Source organism: Homo sapiens, chromosome Y, assembly GCF_000001405.40.
Source record: "Homo sapiens chromosome Y, GRCh38.p14 Primary Assembly".
NCBI classification, from domain to species: domain Eukaryota; kingdom Metazoa; phylum Chordata; class Mammalia; order Primates; family Hominidae; genus Homo; species Homo sapiens.
This window is the reverse complement of record NC_000024.10, coordinates 409,361-437,275: the sequence shown is the minus strand read 5'-3', so window position 1 is coordinate 437,275 and position 27,915 is coordinate 409,361. Positions and strand designations below refer to the sequence as shown.

The window sequence follows — 27,915 nt, the reverse complement described above, 5'->3', positions numbered from 1 at the left end:
TCTCTGCCTCTCTCTGTGTCTCTCTGTCTCTCCATCTCTCTGTCTGTCTCTCTCTGTGTCTGTCTCTGTCTCTCTGTGTGTATCTGTCTCTCTGTCTCTGTCTCTCCATCTTTGTCTCTCTGTCTCTCTCTGTGTCTCTGTCTCTCTCTGTGTCTCTGTCTCTCTCCATCTCCATCTGTCTCTCTCCGTCTGCTGTCTCTGTGTCTCTGTCTCTCTGTGTGTATCTCTCTGTCTCTCTCTGTCTCTCTGTCTTTGTCTCTCTCTGTGTCTCTACGTCTCTCTGTATCTGTATCTCTCTGTCCCTCTCTGTCTCTCTCTGTCTCTCCATCTTTGTATCTCTCCCTCTGTCTCTGCCTCTCTGTCTTTCTGTCTCTGTCTCTGCCTCTCTCTGTGTCTCTCTGTCTCTCCATCTCTCTGTCTGTCTCTCTCTGTGTCTCTCTGTCTCTGTCTCTCTGTGTGTCTCTGTCTCTCTGTCTCTGTCTCTCCATCTTTGTCTCTCTGTCTCTCTCTGTGTCTGTCTCTCTCTGTGTCTCTGTCTCTCTCCATCTCCATCTCTCTCTCTCTCCGTCTGCTGTCTCTGTCTCTGTCTCTCTGTGTGTATCTCTCTGTCTCTCTCTGTCTCTCCGTCTTTGTCTCTCTCTGTGTCTCTACGTCTCTCTCTGTATCTGTATCTCTCTGTCCCTCTCTGTCTCTCTCTGTCTCTCCATCTTTGTATCTCTCCGTCTGTCTCTGCCTCTCTTTCTTTCTCTGTCTCTGCCTCTCTCTGTGTCTCTTTCTCTGTCTCTCCATCTCTCTTTGTCTCTCTGCGTCTGTCTCTCTTTCTCTCTCTCTATCTCTCTTTCTCTTTGTCTCTGTCTCTCTGCCTCTCTCTTTGTCTCTGTCTCTGTGTCTCTCTCTCTTTCTCTCTGAGCCAGTTCATCCTCCCCTGGTGCCTAGTTTTTAGGGGATTTTGAGCGTAATAAAAACTGATTCCTGGCCGGGCGCAGTGGCTCACACCTGTCATCCCAGCACTCTGGGAGGCTGAGGCAGGCGGATCCCCTGAGCTCATGAGTTCGAGACCAGCCTGACCAACATGGTGAAACCCCATCTCTACTAAAAATACAAAATCAGCCGGGCGTGCTGGCAGGTGCCTGTCATCCCAGCTACTCGGGAGGCTGAAGCAGGAGAATGGCTTGAACCCGGGAGGCGGAGGTTGCAGAGAGCCGAGATCACGCCCCTGCACTCCAGCCTGGGTGACAGAGCGAGACTCTATCTCCAAAAACAAAAAAGAGAGAGAGAGAGAGAGAGAGAGACAGGGTGTTGCCCTGTCACCCAGGCTGGAGTGCAGTGGCGCAATCACAGCTCACCGCCGCGTCCACCTCCCGGCCTCACACCATCCTGCGGTCTGGACGGGTCCCCGGGACACCCCTGTCTTTTCCCTCAGCTCTGCATTTTCCCAGTGAATTCTCCTCTTTCCTGGGGCCTCACCCACACCCGGGACCTGGGGCCACCGCTCCTGCCCATCCCGGCGCCGGGCACCCATGGCCGGCCGTGAGTTCTGGTCCTTCACTGGCAAGGAGGCACCTCCCAGGACCGTATACAAACCTGTAGGTACAAATGTCATCCGTCCTCAGCTCGGGGAGACACAGGTGCCTCTCACGGCGCTGACAGCCCCGGCACGTGTCGTGGGCTGGGTCAAGAATAGAAGCTCCTTCCCCTACTGAGAATGACCGAGAATCAGTGGTGTTTTATCCTGAATTTGATATTCAGAGTCGAATGAACTGTTTTTTTTTTTTTTTCTTCCCCCAGCTCAACTCTCATCTATTTATCTTAAGGCAGACGATCGCTGTGATTTTATAAGAAAGCGCTCCCAATCAAAGCGTACCTATGCGGAGGTAATTAATACAAAGATTGCTGAATTAAAGATGTGAGTCTCCGCTCTCGGGCGAGGGGCCCAGGGACCCCGTCTCCCGGGCCCAAATTATGCCAGAGACAGACCAATTAACACCCCGCGTCATCCTCTTTTATGTTAACTTCAATGACGGCTTCTCACCATTTTTAAAGTTATTTTCTTCTTCGCCATCTCTGCACATCAAAGAGCCAGGCCGGAGAGGCTCCCGCAGGTGAGATCGGTGCCAGGAGACCCCCCGGGAGGGGACGACCGCCGCCCCAGGAACCCCCACACGGATCACTGTAGGGTCCGCCTCGGGGAGCGAAGACCCTCAGGGAAAGGGCCCTTCTGAGGGGAAATCCTGGTCAGCTTATTATTACTATTATTATTATTATTATTATTATTATTATTATACTTTAAGTTTTAGGGTACATGTGGACAATGTGCAGGTTTGTTACATACGTATACATGTGCCATGTTGGTGTAGCATTAGGTATATCTCCTAACGCTATTCCTCCCCCTTCCCCCCACCCCACAACAGTCCCCGGTGTGTGATGTTCCCCTTCCTGTGTCCAAGTGTTCTCATGGTTCAATTCCCACCTATGAGTGAGAATATGTTTGGTTTTTAGTCCTTGCGATAGTTTACTGAGAATGATGATTTCCAATTCCATCCACGTCCCTACAAAGGACATGAACTCATCCTTTTTCATGGCTGCATAGTATTCCATGGTGTATATGTGCCACATTTTCTTCATCCAGTCTATCGTTGTTGGACATTTGGGTTGGTTCCAAGTCTTTGCTATTGTGGACAGTGCCGCAATAAACATACGTGTGCATGTGTCTTTATAGCAGCATGATTTATAGTCCTTTGGGTATATACCCAGCAATGGGATGGCTGGGTCAAATGGTATTTCTAGTTCTAGATCCCTGAGGAATCGCCACACTGACTTCCACAATGGTTGAACTAGTTGACAGTCCCACCAACAGTGTAAAAGTGTTCCTACTTCTCCACATCCTCTCCAGCACCTGTTGTTTCCTGGGGGAGAGGGGAGGGACAGCATTAGGAGACATACCCAATGTAAATGACGAGTTAATGGGTGCAGCACACCAGCATGGCACATGTATACGTATGTAACTAACCTGCGCTTTGTGCACATGTACCCTCGAACTTAAAGTATAATAATAAAAAAGTAAAAAAAAAAAAATGCCATTGACAAACCCAACTCCCATCGCGGCTGCCTCCCAACCTCAAAACGGCCGTCTCAAAGCACAAAATGAAACCGCCTCTGCCGTCGCCTCTGTCCTCCTCACCAATCGCCAGGTGGGAGAGGTTTCCACGGGGTCCGTCTCCTCGTCTCTTGAAGTCCCTTCACGCAGCTCGGCCGCCAAAAGCTCCCGAGTTTCAGCGTCTTGACCGGTGAACGGGAGAAAACAGAACGGCCCAAGGTGTCATCCCAGGTCGGCGGGCAGCTGGTGACATTTCGGCTCAAGCACGCTGAGTAAGACTCACCGCCACACCAGGTCACAGAAAGTGGAAACGAAGCCCGGGCTGGGCAGTGTACGCTGCTGCTACAATGGAAGAATGGAAGCTTCCTTCCTTCCTTCCTTCCCTCCCTCCTTCCTTCCTTTCGTCCTTCCCTCCCTCCTTCCCCTTCCTTCCTTCGTTCCATCACTCCTCCCTTCCTTTCTTCCTTTGTTCATTGCCTCCTTCTTCCTTCTTCATTGCCTTTGCAGCAATGAAGGGATCATCCCTTGCCAGGTGCCAGCCTCCCATATAGATTCTCTCCTTCCTTCTGAGCCCCTGTTGGTGTTTGACTAATCCATGGGTCCATGCCCATGCCAAGATCCCAAAGACAGGTGCCAGCGTGCAAGGGTCATAATCAAGCCACTTAAAGAGCTGTTGGGCCGGGCGCAGTGGCTGACGCCTGTCATCCCAGCACTTTGGGAGGCCGAGGCAGGCGGATCACGAGGTCAGGAGATCGAGACCATCCTGGCTAACACGGTGAAACCCGGTCTCTACTAAAAATACAAAAAAGTATCCGGGCGTGGTGGCGGGCACCTGTAGTCCCAGCTACTCGGGAGGCTGAGGCAGGAGAATGGTGTGAACTCGGGAGGCGGAGCTTGCAGTGAGCCGAGATGGCACCACCGCACTCCAGCCTGGGCGACAAGAGCACGACTTTGTCTCAAAAAAAAAAAAAAAAAAAAAAAAAAACAAAAAAAAAACAAGATTTCAGAGTGACCTGCTTGGAGAAGCCGGTATGAGCTCATGGGCAACTGTGTCTCTAAGTGCGGCCGTCCTCTTAATTCCTTAGTGCAGTGTGGTTCTCAGCCAGGGGACATCCTGCCCCCTCCCCGGACACACTCAGCAATATCAGGGGACATGTCTGCATGTCACAACATGGGGGTGAACTGGCATCTGCTGGGTGGAGCCCAGGGACGCTCCTCAGCACCCTACAGCGCCCAGGACGGCCCCACCACAGAGTCAACACCCTACAGCTCCCAGGACGGCCTCATCACAGAGACTCAACACCCTACAGCGCCCAGGACGGCCCCACCACAGAGTCAACACCCTACAGCTCCCAGGACGGCCTCATCACAGAGACTCAGCACCCTACAGCGCCCAGGACGGCCCCACCACAGAGTCAACACCCTACAGCTCCCAGGACGGTCTCATCACAGAGACTCAGCACCCTACAGCGCCCAGGATGGCCCCACCACAGAGTCAACACCCTACAGCTCCCAGGACGGTCTCATCACAGAGACTCAGCACCCTACAGCGCCCAGGACGGCCCCACCACAGAGTCAACACCCTACAGCTCCCAGGACGGCCTCATCACAGACACTCAACACCCTACAGGGCCCAGGACGGCCTCATCACAGAGACTCAGACTCAACACCCTACAGTGCCCAGGACGGCCTCATCACAGAGACTCAGCACCCTACAGTGTCCAGGACGGCCTCATCACAGAGACTTAACACCCTACAGGGCCCAGGACGGCCTCATCACAGAGACTCAGACTCAGCACCCTACAGTGTCCAGGACGGCCTCATCACAGAGACTCAGCATCCTACAGGGCCCAGGACGGCCTCATCACAGAGACTCAGACTCAACACCCTACAGAGCCCAGGACGGCTTCATCACAGAGACTCAGTACCCTACAGTACCCAGGACGGCCTCATCAAGAGAGTTAGCACCCTGCAGCACCCAGGGTGGCCCCAAGACAGAGAGTCCTCCAGTCCCAAACATCAGCAGTGCCAGAGCTGAGAAAGCTGCCTGGGCATGAGAGATTCTTTATCTATCATCTATCAATTATTGATTAATCAATTATCTATCTATTAATCAGCTATCCATTACTATCGGTCAATTATCTGACAACCAATCATCTGTCAATCATGCATCTATATCAATTACCTATCAACCAATCACTGATCAGTCATACATCTATATAAATTATCAATCATCTGTCAATCAATTCCCTATCAATCATGCATCTGTATCGCTTATGTATCAATTGTCTGTCAATAAATCATCTATCAATCATGCATCTATACCAATTATCTGTCAATTATCAACCATCTATTAATCATGCATCTATATCAATTATCAATCATCTGTCAACCAATCATCAATCATACATTTCTATTAATGTCTATCAATTATCTGTCAATCACCTATTAATCATGTGTCTATATCAATTATCTGTCAACCAATCATCTATCAATCATACATTTATATTAATGCCTATCAATTATCTGTCAATCACCTATTAATCATGCATCTATATCAATTATCTATCATCTGTCAACCAATCAATCATACATTTATATTAATGTCTATCATCTGTCAATCACCTATTAATCATGCATCTATATCAATATCTATCCATCAACTATCTGTCAACCAATCACCTATCAATCATACATGTATGAATCAACTGTGTATCCTATGGTTTGAATCAATGTGTCCTCCGAGTGAGAACATGTCCCCGACACCCCACAGGGCACAGGACGCCCCACGACGGAGAATCCTCCAGCCCCCGATGTCGGCAGATGTGAGGCTGAGAAACCAGCCTTCGTGAGAAGTCACCTGCCTGATCCCAAAATCCCTGCCGACAGCCACCTTCTCACCCTGGCGACAGAGGAATAGGACTTCGTGGCCACAACCCAGGACCCCACGACTGGGCATTAAACCGGCAGGCGAGGAGACACACGTGTGTTTAACACGAGGCTTTTCTTGAGGAGTCTCGGGCTCGTCCTGGACGTCAGCCGTGCGGGTCCCCTGTGAGATGAGCTATTTTCAGCTGAGACTCCCCAGGAAGGGGGCAGTGACCCCCTGCCTGGTCCAGGGTTCCCAGGGCCAGGCTGGAGGCTGGATTCTTTCCCAGGACCCCCCGAGTTTCAGGGGGAGAGACCCTCTCCTGCGTCCCCAGCCTCATACACACGAGCCCTTTTTTGTTTGTTTGAGATGGAGTCTCGCTCTGTCGCCCAGGCTGGAGTGCAGTGGTGCGATCTCAGCTCACTGCAACCTCCGCCTCCCGGGTTCATGCCATTCTCCTGCCTCAGCCTCCCGAGCAGCTGGGACTACAGGTGCCCGCCACCACACCCGGCTAATTTTTTTCTTGTATTTTTAGTAGAGACGGGGTTTCACCATGTTAGCCAGGCTGGTCTTGATCTCCTGACCTCAAGTGATCCACCCACCTCGGCCTCCCCAAGTGCTGGGATGACAGGCGTGAGCCACCGCGCCCGGCCAACAGGTGAGACATCTTTATGTGCACAGTTCCGGGGTAACAAGCACGCTCACACTTTTCTGCAACCATCCCCGTGATTTGTCTCCAAAATTCCACTTCTAAACCCGAAACTGCGACCCCCCCCTTCAACGACAGCTCCATTCGCCCTCCTCAGCCCCCGGCACCCACCGTTATACTTTCTGTCTCTGTGACTCTGGTGACTCGAGGGACCTCCTCGAAGTGGAATCACACAGGACTTGTCTTTCTGTGTCTGGCTGATTGGTCAATATTGTCAAGCTTCTTCCACATGGTAGCAGGTGTCAGAATAGCCTCCCTTGTTAAGGAGTCTCGCTCTGTTGCAGGCTGGAGTGCGATGGGGCAATCTCGTCTCACTGCAACCTCCGTGTCCCAGGTTCAAGCAATTCTCCTGCCTCAGCCTCCTGAGTAGCTGGGATTACAGGCACCTGCCACCACTCCCAGCTAATTTCTTTTGTATTTTAGTAGAGACGGGGTTTCAACATGTTGGCCAGGCTGGTCTCGAACTCCTGAGCTCAGGCAATCTGTCCGCCTCAGCCTCCCAAAGTGCTGGGATGACAGGCGTGAGCCACTGTGTCCAGCCTTTTTTTCTTTTTTTGAGATGGAGTTTCACTCTCGTTGCCCAGGCTGGAGTGCAATGGTGCGATCTCAGCTCACTGCAACCTCCACCTCCCAGGTTCAAGCAATTCTCCTGCCTCAACCTCCTGAGTAGCTGGAACTACAGGCACCTGCCACCACTCCCAGCCAATTTCTTTCGTATTTTAGTAGAGACGGGGTTTCGCCATGTTGCCCAGGCTGGTCTCGAACTCCTGACTTCTGGTGATCCACCCGCCTCGGCCTCCCAGAGTGCTGGGATGACAGGCGTGAGTCACTGCGTCCGGCCACTTCTTACATGATTTCTGCAAAACCCTCAGCAATAAAAAATAGGCCAGGCACAGTGGCTCACGCCCATCATTGCAGGACCCTGGATGGCCGAGGCAGGAGGATCGCTTGAGGTTAACAGTTCAAGACCAGCCTGGACAACACAGTGAGGCCCCATCTCTACAAAAACTGTAAAAATCGGCCCAGCGTGGTGGCGGGCACCTGTGGTCCCAGCTCCTCCGGAGGCTGAGGCAGGAGAATCGCTCGAGCCCAGGAGGTGGAGGCTGCGGTGAGCCGACATCACACCCAGACTCCAGCCTGGGTGACAGAGCGAGACCCTGATTTGAACAGGCTCTGAGGTTCTATGACTGGACAACAGCCTCGGGTCCCGGCCGCCACCATCCCAAGGGCCCCCCTCTCTGTCCTGGGCCGTTTTTGCAGCTCGACGAGTCAGGGTGACGCTTTTCCATGGATCTAAGTTCATGTGAGACAGCTGTAAACAAATGCTGGAGGGGTGACCTCGAGGGGTGCCTGTTTCCGTCCCTGCCTCACAGATGGGGAAACTGGGGTGCAAAGATGGTGAGACACGCCCCCCTCAACGAGGCCACAGAGCTGGCAGGAGGCTCAGCCAGGACACGGTGCAGATGCCAGGCTGTCCAGGAAGAAAGGAAGGAAGAGAGGCAGGGAGGGAGGAAAGGAAGGAGGGAGGAAAGGAGGGACGGAGGAAAGGAAGGAGGGAGGAAAGGAAGGGAGGGAGGAAACAGGCTGCAGTGAGCCGAGATCACACCCAGACTCCAGCCTGGGTGACAGACCCTGATTGGAAACTGTCCAAACGCTGAGCCGTCTAGACGTCGAGCCGAGGCCACTCAGGTCAGCAGCAGCACATGCTGTGTGCCCACGAAGACGATTATTCTAAGGGAGAATCTCAGGGAGGATGTTTGTGGACTTTTGTAGCCACTTAAACAATTTCTACAAAAGAAATAATAAAATAAAATAGGCCCGGTGCGGTGGCTCACACCCGTCATCCCGGCACGTTGGGAGGCTGAGGTGCTGGACGGCTTGATCCCAGGAGTTCAAGACCAGCCCAGGCAACATGGAGAAACCCCGTCTCTACAAAAAATACAAAAAAATACAAAAAAATGAGTTGGGCGTGGTGGCAGGTGCCTCTGGTCCCGGCTACTCGGGAGGCTGAGGCGGGAGGATCACTTGAGGCCACAGTAGCCGGAGGCTGCTCTGAGCCGAGATCATTCCCGCCGTGCTCCAGCCCCCGGATGACAGAATGAGACCCTGTCTAGAAAAGCAAACCACAAAAAAAATAAACTTTTTGAGGAAAACCCCAACAGACCTCCAGAGCCCGTGTGAGGAGGGGTGTCTGCAGGCAAAGCCGGGAATGGGAGTCTTTTGCCCAAGAGGCCCTGGCGGCCGCCTGCTGCGTCTACAGACACGGAAATGTGTCCTTGGCCTTTTCTGCACAGCTTGGGACCCGGGTCCGAGAAGCGGCTTCCTCCCTCGGAATCTTGCAAGTGTGGGAGGGAACGGGGCGGCTGAGGAGATGACGGTGCAAAGTGAAACGCGGCTGATTTTCCTCTCCTGGGCTAGACCATTGCTCACTCCCGACAGCTTCTGTTCTGTGACGGGAGCGTCAGAAACACAGTCGAGCAAAGGTTTCACGACGTCAGTTCCGAAGTAGCCGGTTACGGGGCCTGAACGGCACGGGGTTGGCAGCCGGGGGAGGGATGGGGCTTGAACCCGGTTTGGGATGAATGTAAAGACCTGAGCCCCGGCCCACGAGGCGGGAAGGCGGTCCCGGGGTTCGCAGCCCGGGGACCCACAAGGCTGAAGGCAGTGACGTGTTTCAAAACTCAGCAAAGGGTCCGACAACGGTCCACCGTTTCCGTAGCTGGCACTGCCATCCTGTGGCCGAAGAGAAAATATGTCATGGAAAACGCGGGGCCGGGGCGGCCGTCCTGTCTCTGGGGCGTCCGTGCTGTCTCTGGGGTGTCCGTCCTGTCTCTGGGGCGTCCGTCCTGTCTCTGGGGCGCCCGTCCTGTCTCTGGGGCGTCCGTCCTGTCTCTGGGGCGTCCGTGCTGTCTCTGGGGCGTCCGTCCTGTCTCTGGGGCGTCCGTGCTGTCTCTGGGGCCTCCATCCTGTCTCTGGGGCGTCCGTCCTGTCTCTGGGGCGTCCGTGCTGTCTCTGGGGTGTCCGTCCTGTCTCTGGGGCGTCCGTCCTGTCTCTGGGGCGTCCGTGCTGTCTCTGGGGCCTCCGTCCTGTCTCTGGGGCATCCGTGCTGTCTCTGGGGTCTCCGTCCTGTCTCTGGGGCGTCCGTCCTGTCTCTGGGGTCTCTGTGCTGTCTCTGGGGGCGTCCGTCCTGTCTCTGGGGCATCAGTCCTGTCTCTGGGGCGTCCGTCCTGTCTCTGGGGTCTCCGTGCTGTCTCTGGGGGCGTCCGTCCTGTCTCTGGGGCATCAGTCCTGTCTCTGGGGTGTCCGTCCTGTCTCTGGGGGTGTCCGTGCTGTCTCTGGGGTCTCCGTGCTGTCTCTGGGGCGTCCGTCCTGTCTCTGGGGCGTCCGTCCTGTCTCTGGGGTGTCCGTCCTGTCACCCGTGTGCCTTTCATGTCACTGGAGTGGCCGTCCTGATTCCAGATTCTGATCCCGGCACAGGGAGCATAACCTTGAGCCTGTCTGGGAGGGAAGGAGCCCAGCCCTGCCATAGTTGTACATTGCTTGCATGTGAGTCACGACTGTGGAAACTCCGAGATGGACCAGACAGTCTGTGTTTAGGGAACCATTGCTTTTCATGAGGGACGTGTGCGATCAATATTTTTAAGAGATATTCACTGAAGTACTATCAGCATGAAAATCATTTTCTAATGGGTTAAATATACATCTAGATCATATATATCTCTATATGCACAAATACCTCCACACCTGTATAAATGCATATATACATACAAGGGATGTGTCTGTGTGTCTGTGTGTGTGTGTGGAGTTAGAGCTAGAAAAGAGATATTCACTGAAATATTAGCAATGGAAATCATGTTCTAATGGCTTAAATATACGTATATATCATATATATCTATATATGCACAAACACCTCCACACCTGTATAAATGCGTATATACATACAAGCTGTGTGTGTGTGTGTGTGTGTGTGTGTGTGTGTGGAGAGAGAGAGAGTGAGAAGGAGAGACAGAGGCAATTTGGTTGAGAATTATGTCCCCCCCAAAAGACGTCTTGGCCAGACGCGGTGGCTCACACCTCTAATCCCAGCACTTTGGGAGACCAGAGCGAGAGGAGGCCTTGAGCCCAGGAGTTCAACACCAGCCTGGGCAACGTAGCAAAGACGTCATCTCTACAAAACATTAGAAAATTAGCCCGGCACATGCCTGTGGTCTCCGCTGCTCGGGAGGCTGAGGCGGGAGGACGGCTTGAGCCCAGGAGTTGGAGGCTGCTGTGAGCCGAGATGGCACCACTGCACTCCAGCCTGGGTGACAGAGCGAGACCCTGTCTTAAAAATAAATAAATAGAAAAGAAGAGCCTGAGGCAGAGGAGAGAGGCAGCTTGCAGCCTGGGACCCGCGTCTACACCGCCAACAGCCTCTAAGGCTCTACGACCGGACAACAGCCTCGGGTCCCGGCCGCCACCATCCCAAGGGCCCCCCTCTCTGTCCTGGGCCGTTTTTGCAGGTTGACGAGTCAGGGTGACGCTCTTCCATGGATCTAAGTTCATGTGAGACAGCTGTAAACAAATGCTGGAGGGGTGACCTCGAGGGGTGCCTGTTGCCGTCCCTGCGTCACAGATGGGGAAGCTGAGGTGCAAAGATGGTGAGACACGCACCCCGCCCCCCTCAACGAGGCCGCAGAGCTGGCAGGAGGCTCAGCCAGGACACGGTGCAGATGCCAGGCTGTCCACAAAGAAAGGCAGGGAGGGAGAGAGGGAGGAAATTGGAAGGAAGGAGGGAACGAAAGGACGGAGGGAGGGAGGAAAGAAGGAAGGAAGGAGGGAGGCAGGAAGATTCCGTGTGAATTCACGCCATGAACAAACACTCCCTGAGCCCATCCTCCACGGCCCGTTCTGCTCCAACCCCGGGATGAACCATGACCTCAGCTGACCGGGCCTTTGGGGGGTCCTGGTGTCCCCTCCCCCAACCCCGGGATAAACCATGACCTCAGCCGACCAGGCCTTTGGGGGGTCCTGGTGTCCCCTCCCCCAACCCCGGGATGAACCATGACCTCAGCCGACCAGGCCTTTGGGGGGTCCTGGTGTCCCCTCCCCCAACCCCGGGATGAACCATGACCTCAGCCGACCAGGCCTTTGGGGGGTCCTGGTGTCCCCTCCCCCTAGAATGGCTCAGGTGGGTTTTCCTCTGAGGTCAAGCCTGCATCCCGGGGACCCCGCCTCCGTGGGCAGCTGGTGGGATGGGCCGTCGCCGCCTCCCTGGAGAGCCGAGAATCCAGGGAGACACCCAACGTGAGGACGATGGTGACATCACGATGACAGTGAAGACCAGCCCTGCGGCCACCGCTCCAGCGACGGAAGCCAGGGACCCCCCCACCTCCATCCAAACCTTTCAGACGAGATTGGGTTGACTTGAGGCTGTGGCAAGGGGGTGTTTTCCTGGCTGATATGACAACACTTTGCACAGAGCCACCTCCAGGAATCGCCCCACAACTCCCGAGACCCACCGGCTCGTGCCTTTGGGGGCTCAGGAGAAGAGGGGCCCCCGGCACTCCGTTCACACGTGTGCGATGAGACACACCTGCCCCCCCACCCCCCACGTGGCTTCTAAACACGATGCACCCCCTCTGTCCCCACTGGAGTTTTCTCTGCATGCAGATGTGGCTTTCCTCTGCCTGGAACCCTCAGTACCGTCCCCAGCGGTCACCTAAGGTTCATCGGATGCAGGCGGGAAAGACATAAGCCCCAGAGGTGTTTTCCCTGTTTATTTTAGACAGTTTCTTTCTCTCACCCAGGCTGGAGTGCAGTGGTGCCATCTCAGCTCACTGCAACCTCTGCCTCCCGGGTTCAAGCGATTCTCCTGCCTCAGCCTCTCGACTAGCTGGGATTACAGGCGCCCGCCACCACACCCAGCTAATTTTTTGTATTTTTAGCAGAGGCGGGGGGGTTGCACCATGTTGACCAGGCTGGTCTCGAACTCTTGACCTCAGGTGATCCGCCCGCCTTGTCCTCCCAAAGTGCTGGGATGACAGGCGTGAACCACCGCACCCGGCCCCTCCCAGGTATTTATGCACCCACCGTCGACAGCCCTTGGTTGGGAGAGACTCTGGAGGGTGCGGTTAATTCTGTGGTTCTCCCAACCTACCACTCGGGAGGGCTCCATCACCCAGAGAGGCCCCTACGCACGCAAAGGAAGCTGGACTCGAGGTCTCCATGCTCTGAGCAAGAAAGAGAGCGGAGACACAGCTGCATACAGACCCCTTCCCTTTGTCCTTGTCATGGAGTATCTGAGCTCCCAATCAGCCCTGCAGGCTGCTGGGAAACCCTTCAACCCTCCACCTTGCCATCCTCCTCTCCACCCTAAGCCTGCCTCCCTGTCTCGGTTCTCGGAATACACAGAGGTTTTTCCCAGCTCAGAGTCTTTGCACACGCTGATCCTTCTTCCTGCATTGCTTTTCCCTGCGCACAGCCAGCTCCTCCTTCTTGCTTCTTTTCAGCACTTTTTTTTTTTTTTGGAGACGGAGTCTCGCTCTGTTGCCCAGGCTGGAGGGCAGTGGCACGATCTTGGCTCACTGCAACCTCTGCCTCCCGGGTTCAAGTGATTCTCCTGCCTCAGCCTCCCGAGTAGCTGGGACTACAGGTGCCCGCCACCATGCCCGGCTAATTTTTTGTATTTTTAGTAGAGATGGGGTTTCACCGTGTTAGCCAGGCTGGTCTCGAACTCTTGACCTCAGATGATCCACCCGCCTTGTCCTCCCAAAGTGCTGGGATGACTGGTGTGAGCCACCGCACGTGGCCTGCTTGTGATGAGTTCTTTTGGAGAAATGAATTCACGGGGTGTTGAGATGGGGAATAACAAGGGTACCAACTTTGGCTGCTCCTGGAGGTGTCTTTGAAGGGGTAATGATATTTTAAAAATGCTGAAGGGGCCAGGTACGGTGGCTCACGCCTGGAATCCCAGCACTTCGGGAGGCTGAGGTGGGAGGATGACTTGAGGCCAGGAGTTTGAGACCAGCCTGGGAAACCTAGCAAGACTCTGTCTTTATGAAAAAAAAAAAAAAAAATTAGCCAAACATGGTGACATGCACCTGCCATTCCAGCTACTCAGGAGGCTGAGGCAGGAGGATCCCTTGAACCCGGGAGTGGAGGTTGCAGTGAGCCGAGTTCGCCCATTGCACTCTAGCCTGGGCAATGAGAGCAAGACTCCATCTCAAAAAAAAAAAAAAAAAGGCCACGCACGGTGGCTCACGCCTGTCATCGCAGCACTTTGGGAGGCCGAGGTGGGTGGATCACCTGAGGTCAGGAGTTCGAGACCAGCCTGACTAACATAGTGAAACCCAGTCTCTACTAACAATACAAAATTACCCAGGAGTGGTGGTGGGCGCCTGTAATCCCAGCTACTCGGGAGGCTGAGGCAGGAGGATGCCTTGAACCCCGGAGCAGAGGTTGCAGTGAGCCGAGTTCGCCCACTGTACTCCAGCCTACACAGTAAGAGCAAGACTCTGTCTCAAAAAAAAAAAAAAAAATAGGCCAGGTGCGGTGGCTCATGCCTGTCATCCCAGCACTTTGGGAGGCTGAGGCGGGCAGATCATGAGGTTGGGAGTTCGAGACCAGCCTAACTAAGATAGTGAAACCCAGTCTCTACTAAAAATACAAAATTAGCCGGGCATGGTGGTGCACACGTGTAATCCCAGCTACTCGGGAGGCTGAGGCAGGAGGATGCCTTGAACCCGGAAGCAGAAGTTGCAGTGAGCCAAGATTGCACCATTGCACTCCAGCCTGGGCAATGAGAGCAAGACCATCTCAAAAAAAAAAAAAAAAAAAAGAAAAAGGCCAGACATGGCGGCTCACGCCTGTAATCCCAGCACTTTAAGAGGCCGAGATGGATGGATCACCTGAGGTCAGGAGTTCCAGACCAGGCTGACCAACATGGTGAAACCCCGTCTCTACTAAAAATACAAAATTACCCAGGCGTGGTGGCAGGTGCCTGTACTCCCAGCTACTCGGGAGACTGAGGCAGGAGGATGCCTTGAACCCGGAAGCAGAGGTTGCCGTGAGCCAAGATCACGCCATTGCTCTCCAGCCTGGGTAACAAGAGCAAGACTCTGTCTCAAAAAAAAAAAAAAAAAAAACTCATCACAAGCAGCAGTTAGATGCTATTTTCTTTGTCTACTCACTCCTGATCTCTGCACTAGAGAGGAGGGAACCTCACACACCCCACCACGTACCCAGCACCCGGAACAGCACTCACAGCTCCGTGGACACTCAACAAGCGTTCACTGAAAGCCCCACTCAGCCAGGGCAGGGCCGGGAGGCTGTGACAGAAAGGAGAAAGAAGACGCGCATTTGGGGACAGCTCCCCAGGGGCCCGTCCATCAGCCAGGACCACTTCCAGGCTGTGTTTTTCTTCCCCGTCTCCGAGGCCGAGCAGGTGATAAATCTTTCACCGAAGCCGGGGCTTTGCAGGACGGAGCCGGCTGCCACCTACGTGGTGTGGCTCTGGGGACCCCAGGAACTCCCCACACGCCGTCCGCGTCCAGAAATCCCCCTGCCCCACCCCAACCCGGCCGCAGGTGCCTCAAAGTCCTTCCTTTCTTCCTCAGGGTAAGAAATTAACGGCAGCTGTGAAAACACTCATTTTATCTGGGTGGCGAAATACATTAGACAGGGGCCCTGCCGTTAACACCTTCGCCCCAAGGAGTTTATCCGGATTCCCGTCAGGACCTGGGAGGTCTGGACAGAGAAGGCTCCGGGGTCCCAAGAACCAGGACAGACGGGAGGCGGGAGCAGGTGGGGGCTCTGAGAGTTTGCAGAGCGAAAGTGTTCTCACAAGGAGGGCGCTGGCGCAGGACCTCCAGCCAGGAATGCAGGGACGTCCCTTAGACGTTCTCCGACGGCCCCTCACGAGACCCTGACGTCCTGGCCTGTGTGCTGTCTGCAGCATGAAAACAGTTGTTTTTATTATTATTATTATTATTATTATTATTATTATATTATTTTTGAGACAGAGTTTTTGCTCTGTTGCCCAGCCTGGAGTGCAGGGGTGCGATCTCGGCTCACTGCAACCTCCGCCTCCCGGGTTCAAGCGATTCTCCTGCCTCAGCCTCTCCTGAGTAACTGGGATTGCAGGCACCTGCCACCACCACGCCCGGCTAATTTTGTATTTTTAGTAGAGACAGGGTTTCTCCATGTTGGTCAGGCTGGTCTCGAGCTCCCTACCTCATGATCCGCCCGCCTCGGCCTCCCGAAGCGCTGGGATGACAGGCGTGCACCACCATGCCCGGCTAAGTTGGTATTTTTAGTAGAGACAGGCTTTCTCCATGTTGGTCAGGCTGCTTTTGAGCTCCTGACCTCGTGATCCGCCCGCCTCGGCCTCCCAAAGTGCTCGGATGACAGGCGTGAGCCACCACGCCCGGCTAAGTTTGTATTTTCAGTAGAGATGGGGTTTCTCCATGTTGGCCAGGATGTTCTCGAGCTCCTGACCTCATGATCCACCCGCCTCGGCCTCCCGAAGCGCTGGGATGACAGGCGTGAGCCACCGTGCCCGGCCTCTGGTTTGCAATTGTGACCGAGCTGGTAAGAGGTGGGGGCCAAGGGTTCTCAATCTGTTTTTTAAATTTTTGTGTTTTGTTTTGTTTTGTTTTCGAGACAAGATCTTGCTCTGTCGCCCAGGCTGGAGTGCGGTGGTGAGATCACAGCTCGCTACAGCCTCCAACTCCTGGGCTAAAGCGATCCTCCCACCTCAGCCTCTTCAGGAGCCGGGGCGACAGGCACCCGTGTCACTACGCCCAGCTGATCTGTCTTTTATGATTTTTAAAGACACGGTCTCGTTACGTTACCCAGGCTGGGGGACTCAAACTCGTGGCCTCCAGCGACCCTCGTGCCTCGGCCTCCCGTAGTGCTGGGACTGCAGGTGTGAGCCACCACGCCTGGCCCAAAACAAAATTTACAGAGCAGGACAAGCGCGGTGGCTCACGCCTGTCATCCCAGCACTTTGGGAGGCGGAGGCGGGCGGATCACTGGAGGTCAGGAGCTTGAGACCGGCCTGGCCGATGTGGTGAAACCTCATGTCTACCTAAAAAAACACAAAAATTAGCCGGGCATGGTGGCGGGCGTCTGTCGTCCCAGCTACTCAGGAGGCTGAGGCAGGAGAATCGCTTGAACCTGGGAGGCGGAGGTTGCAGTGAGCCGAGATCACACCACTGCACTCCAGCCTGGGCCACAGAGTGAGACTACATCTCAAAAAGAAAAGGAAAAAGAAAGAAGGAAGGAAGGAAAGGAAGGGAAGGAAAGGAAAGGAGGGAGGGAAGGGAGGTAAGGGAGGGAGGGAAGGGAGGGAAGGAAGGAAGGAAGGGAAGGAAGGAAGGGAAGGAAGGAAGGGAAGGAAGGAAGGGAAGGAAGGAAGGGAAGGAAGGAAGGGAAGGAAGGAAGAGGGGCCGGGCGCGGTGGCTCCCACCCATAATCCCAGCACTCTGGGAGGCCGAGGCGGGCGGATCACCTGGGGTCAGGAGCTTGAGACCAGCCTGGCCAACACGGTGAAACCCCGTCTCTAGTAAATATACAAAAATTAGCCGGGCGTGGTGGCAGGCGCCTGTCGTCTCAGCTATTGGGAGGCTGAGGCAGGAGGATCGCTTGAACCCGGGAGGCGGAGGTTGCAGTGAGCTGAGATCGCACCATTGCACTCCAGCCTCGGCGACACAGAGAGACTCATCTCAAAAAATAAAAATAAAAGTTCCATGGGGAAATGAGCCAGAATATGTGTATCCCCAGCTGTTCTCTAAAGACTGAGGGTATTTGTGCTGTTAGGCGTCTCAAAGTTTTCTCGAATTAATTTATTTTTTTCCTTTATCATCTTCCAGAACTTTCTGCCAGCAGCCTGCGTGCATTTCTTTTGCAAGCAGAAGGCAGCCCTTTTTTTTTTAATGTTAGAATCAAAGAGCCGGTTTCTTTCTGTCTTTGTCAGGAGGATGCGGTACGGTGACCGGGCCCCAGGGCTGCACCGACCGCGTTTTGTGGGGACAGACGTGGGCAGAGTGGCTGAGATAGGAGGGGAACAGGTGCCCTCGGGCTGGGGCAGGGAGAGGGCACTGCCACGCATCGCCCTGATCATTCTATTCTGTCGCAGAGCCGTGGGCAGGACCCCCTCGGGCAGGTGAGAGCCCCAGGTGAGCCCCCCCCGCCTCACCTGGCATGCAGGCCGGGGAGGTGACCCCACCCGCAGGTCACAGACACGGGTGTTCTTACGGGAAGCCCGGAGCGTCCTGCGTGGCGAGGTGCCCGGGGAGGCGGCGGTGGGGGGTGGATCGGCAGAAACAAGTTGTGTTCTGAGGCGCAGCGCCTGTGATGTGGGAGCCGGGCGCCCGGGGTTTGCAGACGTTTCTCGGTAATGTTTGTGCAGAAGCAAAGATCGAGCTCCTGGCTGGAGACCGTGAGGCCACTATAGAGAGACCACGGATGCTGGCTGCCGGGAAGGTGGCAATTAGCAGGATTTATGGTGTTTGCACGGCTCCCTGCGGTGGGGCATCCTCTTGGAGGCGGCCCTGGGGAGCAGCGTGGGGTCCAGACGGTGTCTCCGGCCCGGCTTCAGAACAAGCCACGCGGCGTCCGGGAGGACCCGTTGTCAGAGGCGAATGAACCGCAGTGACTCCCTCTTGACTGACGGCTGATTCCTCGCCTGCAGACGTTTACGGTCAAGGGAACGAATGCGGCTCACGCCTGGAATCCCAGCGCTCTGGGAGGCCGAGGCGGGCGGATCACGAGGTCAGGAGTTCGAGACCAGCCTGGCCAACACGGTGAAACCCCGTCTCTACTAAAAACACAAAAATTAGCCGGGCGTGGTGGCGGGTGCCTGTAATCGCAGCTGCTCAGGAGGCTGAGGCGGGAGAATCACTTGAACCCGGGAGGTGGAGGTTGCGGTGAGCAGAGATGGCACCACTGCACTCCAGCCTGGGGACAGAGTGAGACTCCATCTCAGAAAAAAAAAAAAAAAGGAAGAAATTGATAATGTTTACTGGCACGGTGGCTCACGCCTGTAATCCCAGCACGTTGGAAGGCTGAGGTGGGTGGATCACATGAGGTTGGCAGTTCGAGGCCAGCCTGACCAACATGGAGAAACCCCGTCTCTACTAAAAAAAATACAAAATTAGCCGGGCGTGGTGGCGGGCGCCTGTCATCCCAGCTACTCGGGAGGCTGAGGCAGGAGAATTCCTTGAACCCGGGAGGCGGAGGTTGAGGTGAGCTGAGATCGCACCACTGCACTCCAGCCTGGGCAACAAGAGCGAAACTCCATCTCAAAAAAAAAAAAAAAGTATTTACTAAACAGCCCCAGACTTGGGAGTGTCCAGGTATCTTAATATCTGGAGAACAAAGGCATTTTCCTAAGTTTGCTCTAAACATAATACCAATTCTCGGCCGGGCGCGGTGTTTCACGCCTGTCATCCCAGCACTTTGGGAGGCCGAGGCGGGCGGATCAGGTAGTCAGGGGTTCGAGACCAGCCTGGCCAATATGGTAAAACCCGTGTCTATTAAAAGTACAACGATTAGCCGGGTGTGGCGGGTGCCTGTAGTCCCAGCTACTCAGGAGGCTGAGGCAGGAGAATGGCTTGAACCCGGGAGGTGGAGGTTGCAGTGAGCCGAGATCGCGCCACCGCACTCCAGCCTGGGCGACAGAGCGAGACTCCATCTCAAAAAATAATAACTATAATACTGATTCTTGCAAAATATAGTAATTAAGAAAATTAATCCTTTATCACGAACCTTTGTAGCAGAGCACGTGTACCCGTATAGACAATTCTTTCTTTCTTTTTTTTTTTTTTTTGAGACAGAGTCTCGCTCTGTCGCCCAGGCTGGAGTGCAGTGGCGCGATCTCAGCTCACTGCAACCTCCGCCTCCCGGGTTCACGCCATCCTCCTGCCTCGGTCTCCCGAGTAGCTGGGACTACAGGTGCCCACCACCACGTCCGGCTAATTTTTTGTATTTTTAGTAGAGATGGAGTTTCATCGTGCTGGCCAGGCTGGTCTCGATCTCCTGACCTCGTGATCCACCCGCCCTGGCCTCCCAAACTGCTGGGATGACAGGCGTGAAACACCGCGCCCGGCCCCATTTTACTTTCTAAATAAACTTGCTTTTATTTTGCACTGCAAACTTGCCGTGAATTCTTTCTTGCACGAGATCCAGGTACCCTCTCTTGGGGTCTCAATCCGGAGACCCCAAGATGGCGTTGGCTGCCCGGTGGTCCGGGACTCAGGGGTCCACACGGGCTCTTCTGTGGCAAAAGGGGGATACCGAAGGGACGTCCTCCCTGTCAGCCTCCTGGACAGCTCAGCGTGGGCACCCGGGGAGCCCAGAGCCGCAGCCCCACACCCACCTCCCCGCCCACCAGCTCCCTACATGCTCAGAAGCAGGAGGACGTGAGTTTGAATTTGGCGACGTATCACCCTCTTGTTCTCCAAACCCAACATCAGGGCTGGGAGCCGTACTGCACACCTGTAATCCCAGCACTTTGGGAGGCCGAGATGGGAGGATCGCTGGAGCCCAGAGTTTCAGAGCAGCGTGGGCAACATAGGGAGGCCCTATCTCTACAGAAAATACAAAATGAGGCTGGCACGGTGGTGCATGCCTGTGGTCCCAGCTACTCGGGAGGCTGAGGCAGGAGGATCGCTTGAGCCCAAGGATTGGAGGCTGCAGTGAGCCAAGATCATGCCACTGCACCCCAGCCTGGGCTACATAGGGAGACCCTATCTCTACAGAAAATACGAAATGAGGCTGGCACAGTGGTGCATGCCTGTGGTCCCAGCTACTCGGGAGGCTGAGGCAGGAGGATCGCTTGAGCCCAAGGATTGGAGGCTGCAGTGAGCCAAGATCATGCCACTGCACCCCAGCCTGGGCTACATAGGGAGACCCTATCTCTACAGAAAATACAAAATGAGGCTGGCACAGTGGTGCATGCCTGTGGTCCCAGCTACTCGGGAGGCTGAGGCAGGAGGATCGCTTGAGCCCAAGGATTGGAGGCTGCAGTGAGCCAAGATCATGCCACTGCACCCCAGCCTGGGCAACAGACCAAGACCCTGCCTCGAAAAAAAAGAAAAGAAAAACCACATCCTTGAAGGTGCCAGGAGGGACGTTTATTTGGACCTCACGGAACGCTCTCTCGTCTTGGGGATCTGGGGGTGGGGGGATGGCTTCAGCGTTCACCTCCGTGCCAGACGCAGCCCCGGGCACACGGTGAACAGTTCCTAGTGGGCTGGTGATGAAGGCCTTTCGCCAGGTCCCGTTAGGTCCTCTGAGAAGTCTCCAGGGCCCCAGGGGCAGGAACAGGCTTGAAGTATTTGTGGGCTTATAAAGGTTTCCACCTGCCCGTAAAACGACGTTTACGAGAGCCCACCTCCACCTAGCAGTCACGGCCGCCTCCCCTCCTCACCCCTCCGGCGGCTCCAAATCCCTGGATTATGGAAAACGGTGTGCGTGATCTGGACTCGGAGATCTGTTAGAAATACACACATTTGGGAAGAGAGGTCAGAAAGGCAGATTTAAGAATAAAGACCTTCCCTGGGGTGGGCAGGGGTGGGGGCAGTGTAAATGAAAGGCGGGATTTGGGCGGGCAGATACATCAAGCCCAGGTGTTCAAGATCACCATGGGCAACAGAGCAAGAGTCTGTCCCTACAAAAAAATTTAAAAATTAGCTGGGAGTGGTGGCACCTGTCTGTAGTCCCAGCTCCTCAGGAAGCTGAGGCAGGAGGATCACCTGAGCCCAGGAGGTGGACGCTGCAGTGAGCTGAGATTGCACCACTGCACTCCAGCCTGGGCCACAGAGCAAGAGCCTGTCCCTACAACAAAATTAAATATTGGCCAGGTGTGATGGTGTATGTCTGTAGTCCCAGCTCCTCAGGAGGCTGAGGTGGGAGGATCACCTGAGCCCAGGAGGTGGAGGCTGCAGTGAGCGGAGATTGCACCAGTGCACTCCAGCCTGGGCCACAGAGCAAGACCCTGTCTCTACAAAAAAAATTAAATATTGGCCAGGTGTGATGGTGTATGTCTGCAGTCCCAGCTCCTCAAGAGGCTGAGGCAGGAGAATCGCTTGAACCAGGAGGCGGAGGTTGCAGTGATCCGAGATCACACCACTGCACTCCAGCCTGGGTGACAGAGCGAGACTCCGTCTCAAAAACAAACAAACGAAAAATGGCTCACACGGTGAATTTTATGTTCTGTACGTCTTACGTGCCACGGTAAACAAACAGGAAAACAAGACTCAGAAAGCATTCATCAGCCACCACGTGAAAACCACCCCTTGATCCATTTTTATAATTAATTTCAGACAGTCAGGTATTTGGTTTAAGAGCTGTGGGAGTCCACGCTACCTGGGGTGCTCGGACGCTTAATTGCAAAATAATTAGAGAAAATTGGTGACTGCTTTCATCTCTGTTTCATCTTTCAGGGTGAAAAGTGAAAATCTAGACGCTTCCGGTTCTATTCTAATGATGTTTCATACGCGGCCGCCAAGGCACAAAGCAAGCTGACCGTTTTGTACCATTTGGACTTGACTTTTTTCTAAATGTCATAAGGGAAACTTAATTCCTTTTAATTAAATGTCTTTAAAAGCCCGTCCCTTTAGTCTTTGAGCTCCTCTTCTCGGTCTCCTCCCGCGCTGTGGAGGGTACTTCCATTTTCAATAAATCCCTTCATTCCTTCCTTGCAAAAAATAAAAATAAAATAGGGCCAGGTGAGGTGGCTCACACCTGTCATCCCAGCACTCTGGGAGGCAGAGGAGGGTGGATCACCTGAGGTCAGGAGTTCGAGACCAGCCTGACCAACATGGTGAAACCCCGTCTCTACTAAAAACACAAAATTAGCCGAGCGTGGTGGTGCACGCCTGTAATCTCAGCACTTTGGGAGACTGAGGCAGGAGAATCACTTGAACCCGGGAGGCGGAGGTTGCAGTGAGCCGAGATCCCGCCACCGCACTCCAGCCTGGGCAACAAGAGTGAAACTCCGCCTCAAAAATATTAATAATAAAATAAATAAAAAATAGGCCGGGCGCGGTGGCTCACGCCTGTAGTCCCAGCACTTTGGGAGGCCGAGGCTGGCGGATCACCTGAGGTCAGGAGTTCAAGAACAGCCTGGCCGACACGGCGAGACCCCATCTCCACTAAAAATACAAAAATTAGCTGGGCGTGGTGTGGGCACCTGTCATCCCAGCTACTCGGGAGGCTGAGGCAGGAGAATCCGTTGAACCCGGGAGGCGGAGGTTGCAGTGAGCCGAGATCACACCATTGCACTCCAGCCTGGGTAACAAGAGCAAAACTCCATCTCAAAAATGATAATAATAATAATAAAATAAAAAATAAAAGGTGCCATTTCCCCTGCTCCTTTTATTTTTGACATGCTTTTCAGCATGACTGTGTACAGCAGTCGGCCCCTGCCCTGGAGTCCAGCTGCACCTGCTCCTGCCCCAGCCCCGGCTGACCGAGGTCTGTTTACGTCTCCCCAGTATCACCCAGCAACGGGGACCTAAACACAGCTGAGCAGCAAAGACAAGGGCCCCCGGGTGGTAAAGACGCAGGTCCTCTTTCCGCAGATGGCCCTGAAAAAGACCCTATGCCCCAAGGACCCGGGGTCGGGGGAGGTTTCTCCTCTGCTCTGCACCCCACATCCCGAGCTCTCGGGCAGCTCCGAGCTCAGCCGTGGGTCCTGGAGGAAGGAGGGAGACGCTGTGTTACGGTTCCCCGCGGGTGGGAACCAGTGCCCTTCTAATTCGGAAGGTGGCACATTCCCCAGGCCTGAAGTCATGCTGGCCTGGAGGGGGGCTGCCATCCTGTCCGGGGGGCCTGGCTCGTCTTGGAAGGGCAGGCATTGTGGAGGCTGGGACTCCCGGCTTCTCCCCAGCTTCCTTCCTCCCTGACCAGCCCATCGGAAAAGCAATTCCTCCTGTAGACCTCAGAGCTCCAGCGTCTCCGGCATCCACCCACCCCGGGCCTTTGCAAGCCACCCTGACCGCCGATGCCAAGCGGGATGTCTAAATCGGGCGCGTGCATTCCTGCCACTAAGCGTGGCCCTCGGTTAATCCCTGGCAGGGGGTGACTGTCTTGGCCGTGGAATGTGTGGACGGAATGTTGGGGCCGGGTGAGCTGTTGAAAGCTCGTCCCCGGCGCCCACCCGGACTCCGCAGCTCCATGGACACTATTTCCAGGATGGGGGAGCGGACAGGGCCCCTTTCAACCTTCGGAATTCCTGGCGGGGCCTCCCAGCTGTGCTCGCCATGCTTATTTAAATCTCGCTGATTTAAAAGAAAATCCTTTTCCATCTTCTTCTGGGTGGCTTGAGGCTGTGCCTAGGGGGGTCCATGGTCACCGGCTGTATTTTCACAAACCATTGATTTTTTTTTTTCTTTTTGAGACAGACTTTCGCTGTCACCCACGATCTCAGCTCACTGCAACGTCCGCCTCCCAGGTTCAAGCAATTCTCCTGCCTTACTCTCCCGAGTAGCTGGGATAACAGGCACACACCATCACACCTGGCTAATTTTTTTTTTTGTATTTTTTTTTTTAGTAGAGATGAGGTTTTGCCATACTGGCAAGGCTGGTCTTGAACTCCTGGGCTCAAGCAATCCACCGGCCTCGGCCTCCCAAAGTGCTGGGATTACAGGCAAGACCCACTGCACCTGGCCTCTACAAACAATTTAAAAATAAAATCAGCCGAGCATGGTGGCTCACGCTCGTAGTCCCAACCACTCAGGAGGCCGATATGAGAGCATCGCTTGAGGCCAGGAGTTTGAAACCAGCCTGGACAATATTGCAAGACCCCCATCTCTCAAAAAACAAATTTAAAATTGGCCAGGCATGGTGGCGCACACCTGTAGTCCCAGCTACTCGGGAGGCTGATGCAGGAGGATTGGTGGAGCCCAGAGGGTTGAGGCTGCAAGGAGCTGAGATCCCAACACTGCACTCCAGCCTGGGCAACAGAGCAAGACCTCAGCTGAAAAAATAAAGACAAGTTTGATACCGACAGTGACAGCTGTGCTCAAATTTGTGGGTTCCTAGCCCTGGAGCAGGGTTTCAATTTTTTTCTTTGAGACAGTCTCAAAAAACCAAAGAAACAAAAAACCTCTGAGATGGTTATATTTCAATTTCTCTGAGATACAGGGTGTATTACCTTGGAACACTATTGTTGCCAACTTGATCTCCCACCTACGGTGAACAAAACTTTGCGTTTGAATCCAAAAACAGGCTAGGCAAGTATATTGAGACATTCATAAAAGCTCTTTGAATCGGCAATGGGAGTCATTGCAACTTTATTTATTTACTTTTTTTTTGGAGACGAGGTTTTGGTCTGTTGCCCAGGCTGGAGTGCAGTGGTGCGATCACAGCTAACTGCAGCCTCGACCTCCTAGGCTCAGGCAATCCTCCTGCCTCAGCCTCCTGAGTAGCTGGGACTATAGGTGTGCACCGCCACAGCTGGCTAATTTTTAAGTTTGTTTTTTTTTTTTGAGACGGAGTCTCGCTCTGTCGCCCAGCCTGGAGTGCAGTGGTGCCATCTCAGCTCACTGCAAGCTCGGCCTCCCGGGTTCACCCCATTCTCCTGCCTCAGCCTCCTGAGTAGCTGGGACTATAGGTGTGCACCACCACAGCTGGCTAATTTTTAAGTTTTTTTTTGTTTGTTTGCTTGTTTCTTTGTTTTGAGATGGAGTCTCGCTCTGTCGCCCAGGCTGGAGTGCAGTGGCGCGATCTCGGTTCACTGCAAGCTCCGCTTCCCGGGTTCACGCCATTCTCCTGCCTCAGCCTCCCGAGTAGCTGGGACTACAGGCGCCGCCACCACGCCCGGCTAATTTTTTTTGTATTTTTAGTAGAGACGGGGTTTCACCGTGTTAGCCAGGATGGTCTTGATCTCCTGACCTCGTGATCCACCCGCCTCGGCCTCCCAAAGTGCTGGGATTACAGGTGTGAGCCACCGCGCCCGGCCCCAAATTATTTATTTATTTATTTATTTATTTATTTATTTATTTATTTAGACACAGTCTCACTCTGCCACCGAGGCTGGAGTGCAATGGTGTGATCTCGGCTCACTGCAACCTCCGCCTCCCGGGTTCAAGCAATTCTCCTGCCTCAGCCTTCCGAGTAGCTGCAATTACAGGTGCCCACCACCGTGACCAGGTGATTTTTGTATTTTTAGTAGAGATGGGGTTTCACCATGTTGGCCAGGCTGGTCTCAAACTCCTGACCTCAGGTGATCCGCCCACCTCGGCCTCTCAAAGCGCTGGGATGACAGGTGTGAGCCAACATGCCCGGCCTAAAAGTAGCCACTTTTAACACTATAACTAAAGCAAGCTGCTTTGGGGCAGACATCAACAACATTCTTTTTTTTTTTTTTTGAGTCGGAGTTTCAGTCTTTGTCACCCAGGCTGGAGTGAAATGTCGCGATCTCAGCTCATTGCCACCTCGGCCTCTTGGGTTCAAGCAATTCTCCTGCCTCAGACTCCTGAGTAGCTGGGATTACAGGCACATGCCACCATGCCCAGGTGATTTTTGTATTTTTAGTAGAGACAGGGTTTCGACACGTTAGCCAGGCTGGTCTCGAACTCCTGACCTCGGGTGATCCGCCCGCCTCAGCCTCCCAAAGTGCTGGGATTACAGGCGCATGCCACCATGCCTAGGTGATTTTTGTATTTTTAGTAGAGACAGGGTTTCGCCATGTTGGCCAGGCTGGTCTCGAACTCCTGACCTCAGGGGATGCACCCGCCTCAGCCTCCCAAAGTGCTGGGATTACAGGCGTGAGCCACCGTGCCCAGCCTAAAAGTAGCTGCTTTTACCACTATGAGTAAAGCAGTTGGGCAAGTGTGGTCAGCAGATTCCCAGACATAAAATCCAGGACCCAGGCTCTTTTCCACAGCTCACCGTGGAGCCCATCGCAATGCCTGGGATCCACCTGGCCACCAGGTCCTTGCACCCCACAGTCACGACAGCTGCCCTGGGTCCCCGGGGTCATGGAATTCTCCAGATCTGCCAGTCCGCCTGAATTGGAGTAGCTCTTCCCAGAAAACCTCTGCAAACCCCAGCCGAGGCTCAACAGCCCGGCTGCCACGGGTGCCGAGAACCAGGCGTGCCCACGGAGGTGAGAGCAGGTAGGAGACAGAGCTGATGCTTGGATAGGACCCACACGTTCCTCCCACCGAGAGGTCCGAAGGCAGCCAGGCGCGGTGGCTCCCGCCTGTCATCCCAGCACTTTGGGAGGCCGAGGCGTGTGGATCACCTGAGGTCAAGAGTTCAAGACCAGCCTGGCCAACATGGAGAAACCCCATTTCTACTAAAAATACAAAATTACCCAGGTGTGGTGGCGGGCACCTGTAATCCCGGCTACTCAGGAGGCTGAGGCAGGAGAATCGTTTGAACCCGGGAGGCGGAGGTTTCAGTGAGCCGAGATCACACCACTGCACTCCAGCCTGGGTGACAGAGCAAGACTCCATCTCAAAAAAAAAAAAAAGCCTGAAGGCTCCCACTGAGTGTCCTGCTTTCAAGTTAGCTGCACCCCAGCCTGCTGCGGTGGCTCACGCCTGTCATCCCAGCACTATGGGAGGCGAAGGCGGGTGGATCACTTGAGGTCAGGAGTTTGAGACCAGACTGGCCAACATGGTGAAACCCCATCTCTACTAAAAATACAAAAATTAGCCCGGGCATGGTGGCAGGTGACTGTCATCCCAGCTACTCAGGAGGCTGAGGCAGGAGAATCGCTTGAACCTGGAAGCCGGAGGTTGCAGTGAGCCGAGATCGTGCCACTGCACTCCAGCCTGGGCGACAGAGCGAGACTCTGCCTCAAAAAAAAATAAAATAAAGTAAAACAAAAATAAAATAAAATGTATTCTGATGTCTGGACACCATGGTTCATACCCATAATCCCAGCAGTTTTGGAGGCTGGGACAGGAGGATCACTTGAGGCCAGGAGTTCAAAACCAGCCTGGGCATATAGGGAGAACCTCTCTCTACAAAAAAACAAACCAAAAAAACTTAACTGGGGATGGTGTTGTGCACCTACAGTCCAAGTGTACTAGTCTGTTCTCAGGCTGCTAATAAAGGCATAACGAAGATGGGGTAATTTATAAAGGAAAGAGGTTTAATGGACTCACATTTCCGCATGGCTGGGGAGGCCTCACAATCATGGCGGAAGACGAAGAAGGAGCAAAGTCACATCTTACATGGCGGCAGGCAAAAAAAGGGCGTATAGAGGGGTGCTCCCATTTATAAAACCATCAGATCTTG

The 27,915-nt window shown here is 54.2% G+C and overlaps 1 long non-coding RNA gene across 2 annotated transcripts in view, besides 2 other annotated features; it reads right to left on the bottom strand.

The window, feature by feature from the left end:
* The window catches only part of LOC102724521 (uncharacterized), a 42,736-nt gene extending 35,481 nt beyond the window's left edge, over window positions 1-7,255 (bottom strand). The window contains exons 1-3 of one of the 2 annotated variants that reach the window (XR_001756015.2): window positions 6,787-7,255; window positions 3,182-3,439; window positions 1,585-1,699 (exon numbers count right to left, since the gene is read on the bottom strand). This is a non-coding gene — a long non-coding RNA (uncharacterized LOC102724521). The remainder of the gene's footprint in view (window positions 1-1,584; window positions 1,700-3,181; window positions 3,440-6,786) is intronic. The other variant, XR_007068454.1, reaches the window with a different exon arrangement.
* Window positions 825-1,324: an enhancer, noted in NCBI's record as "H3K4me1 hESC enhancer chrX:396687-397186 (GRCh37/hg19 assembly coordinates)". NCBI's record gives its function as "activates a minimal SCP1, AML or CMV promoter by ChIP-STARR-seq in naive H9 embryonic stem cells {active_cell/tissue: H9 hESC(naive)}" and the evidence as "EXISTENCE:reporter gene assay evidence [ECO:0000049][PMID:30033119]".
* Window positions 8,275-8,446: a silencer, noted in NCBI's record as "fragment chrX:389565-389736 (GRCh37/hg19 assembly coordinates)". NCBI's record gives its function as "represses an EF-1alpha promoter that drives an FKBP-Casp9 reporter gene in an ReSE screen in K562 erythroleukemia cells {active_cell/tissue: K562}" and the evidence as "EXISTENCE:reporter gene assay evidence [ECO:0000049][PMID:32094911]".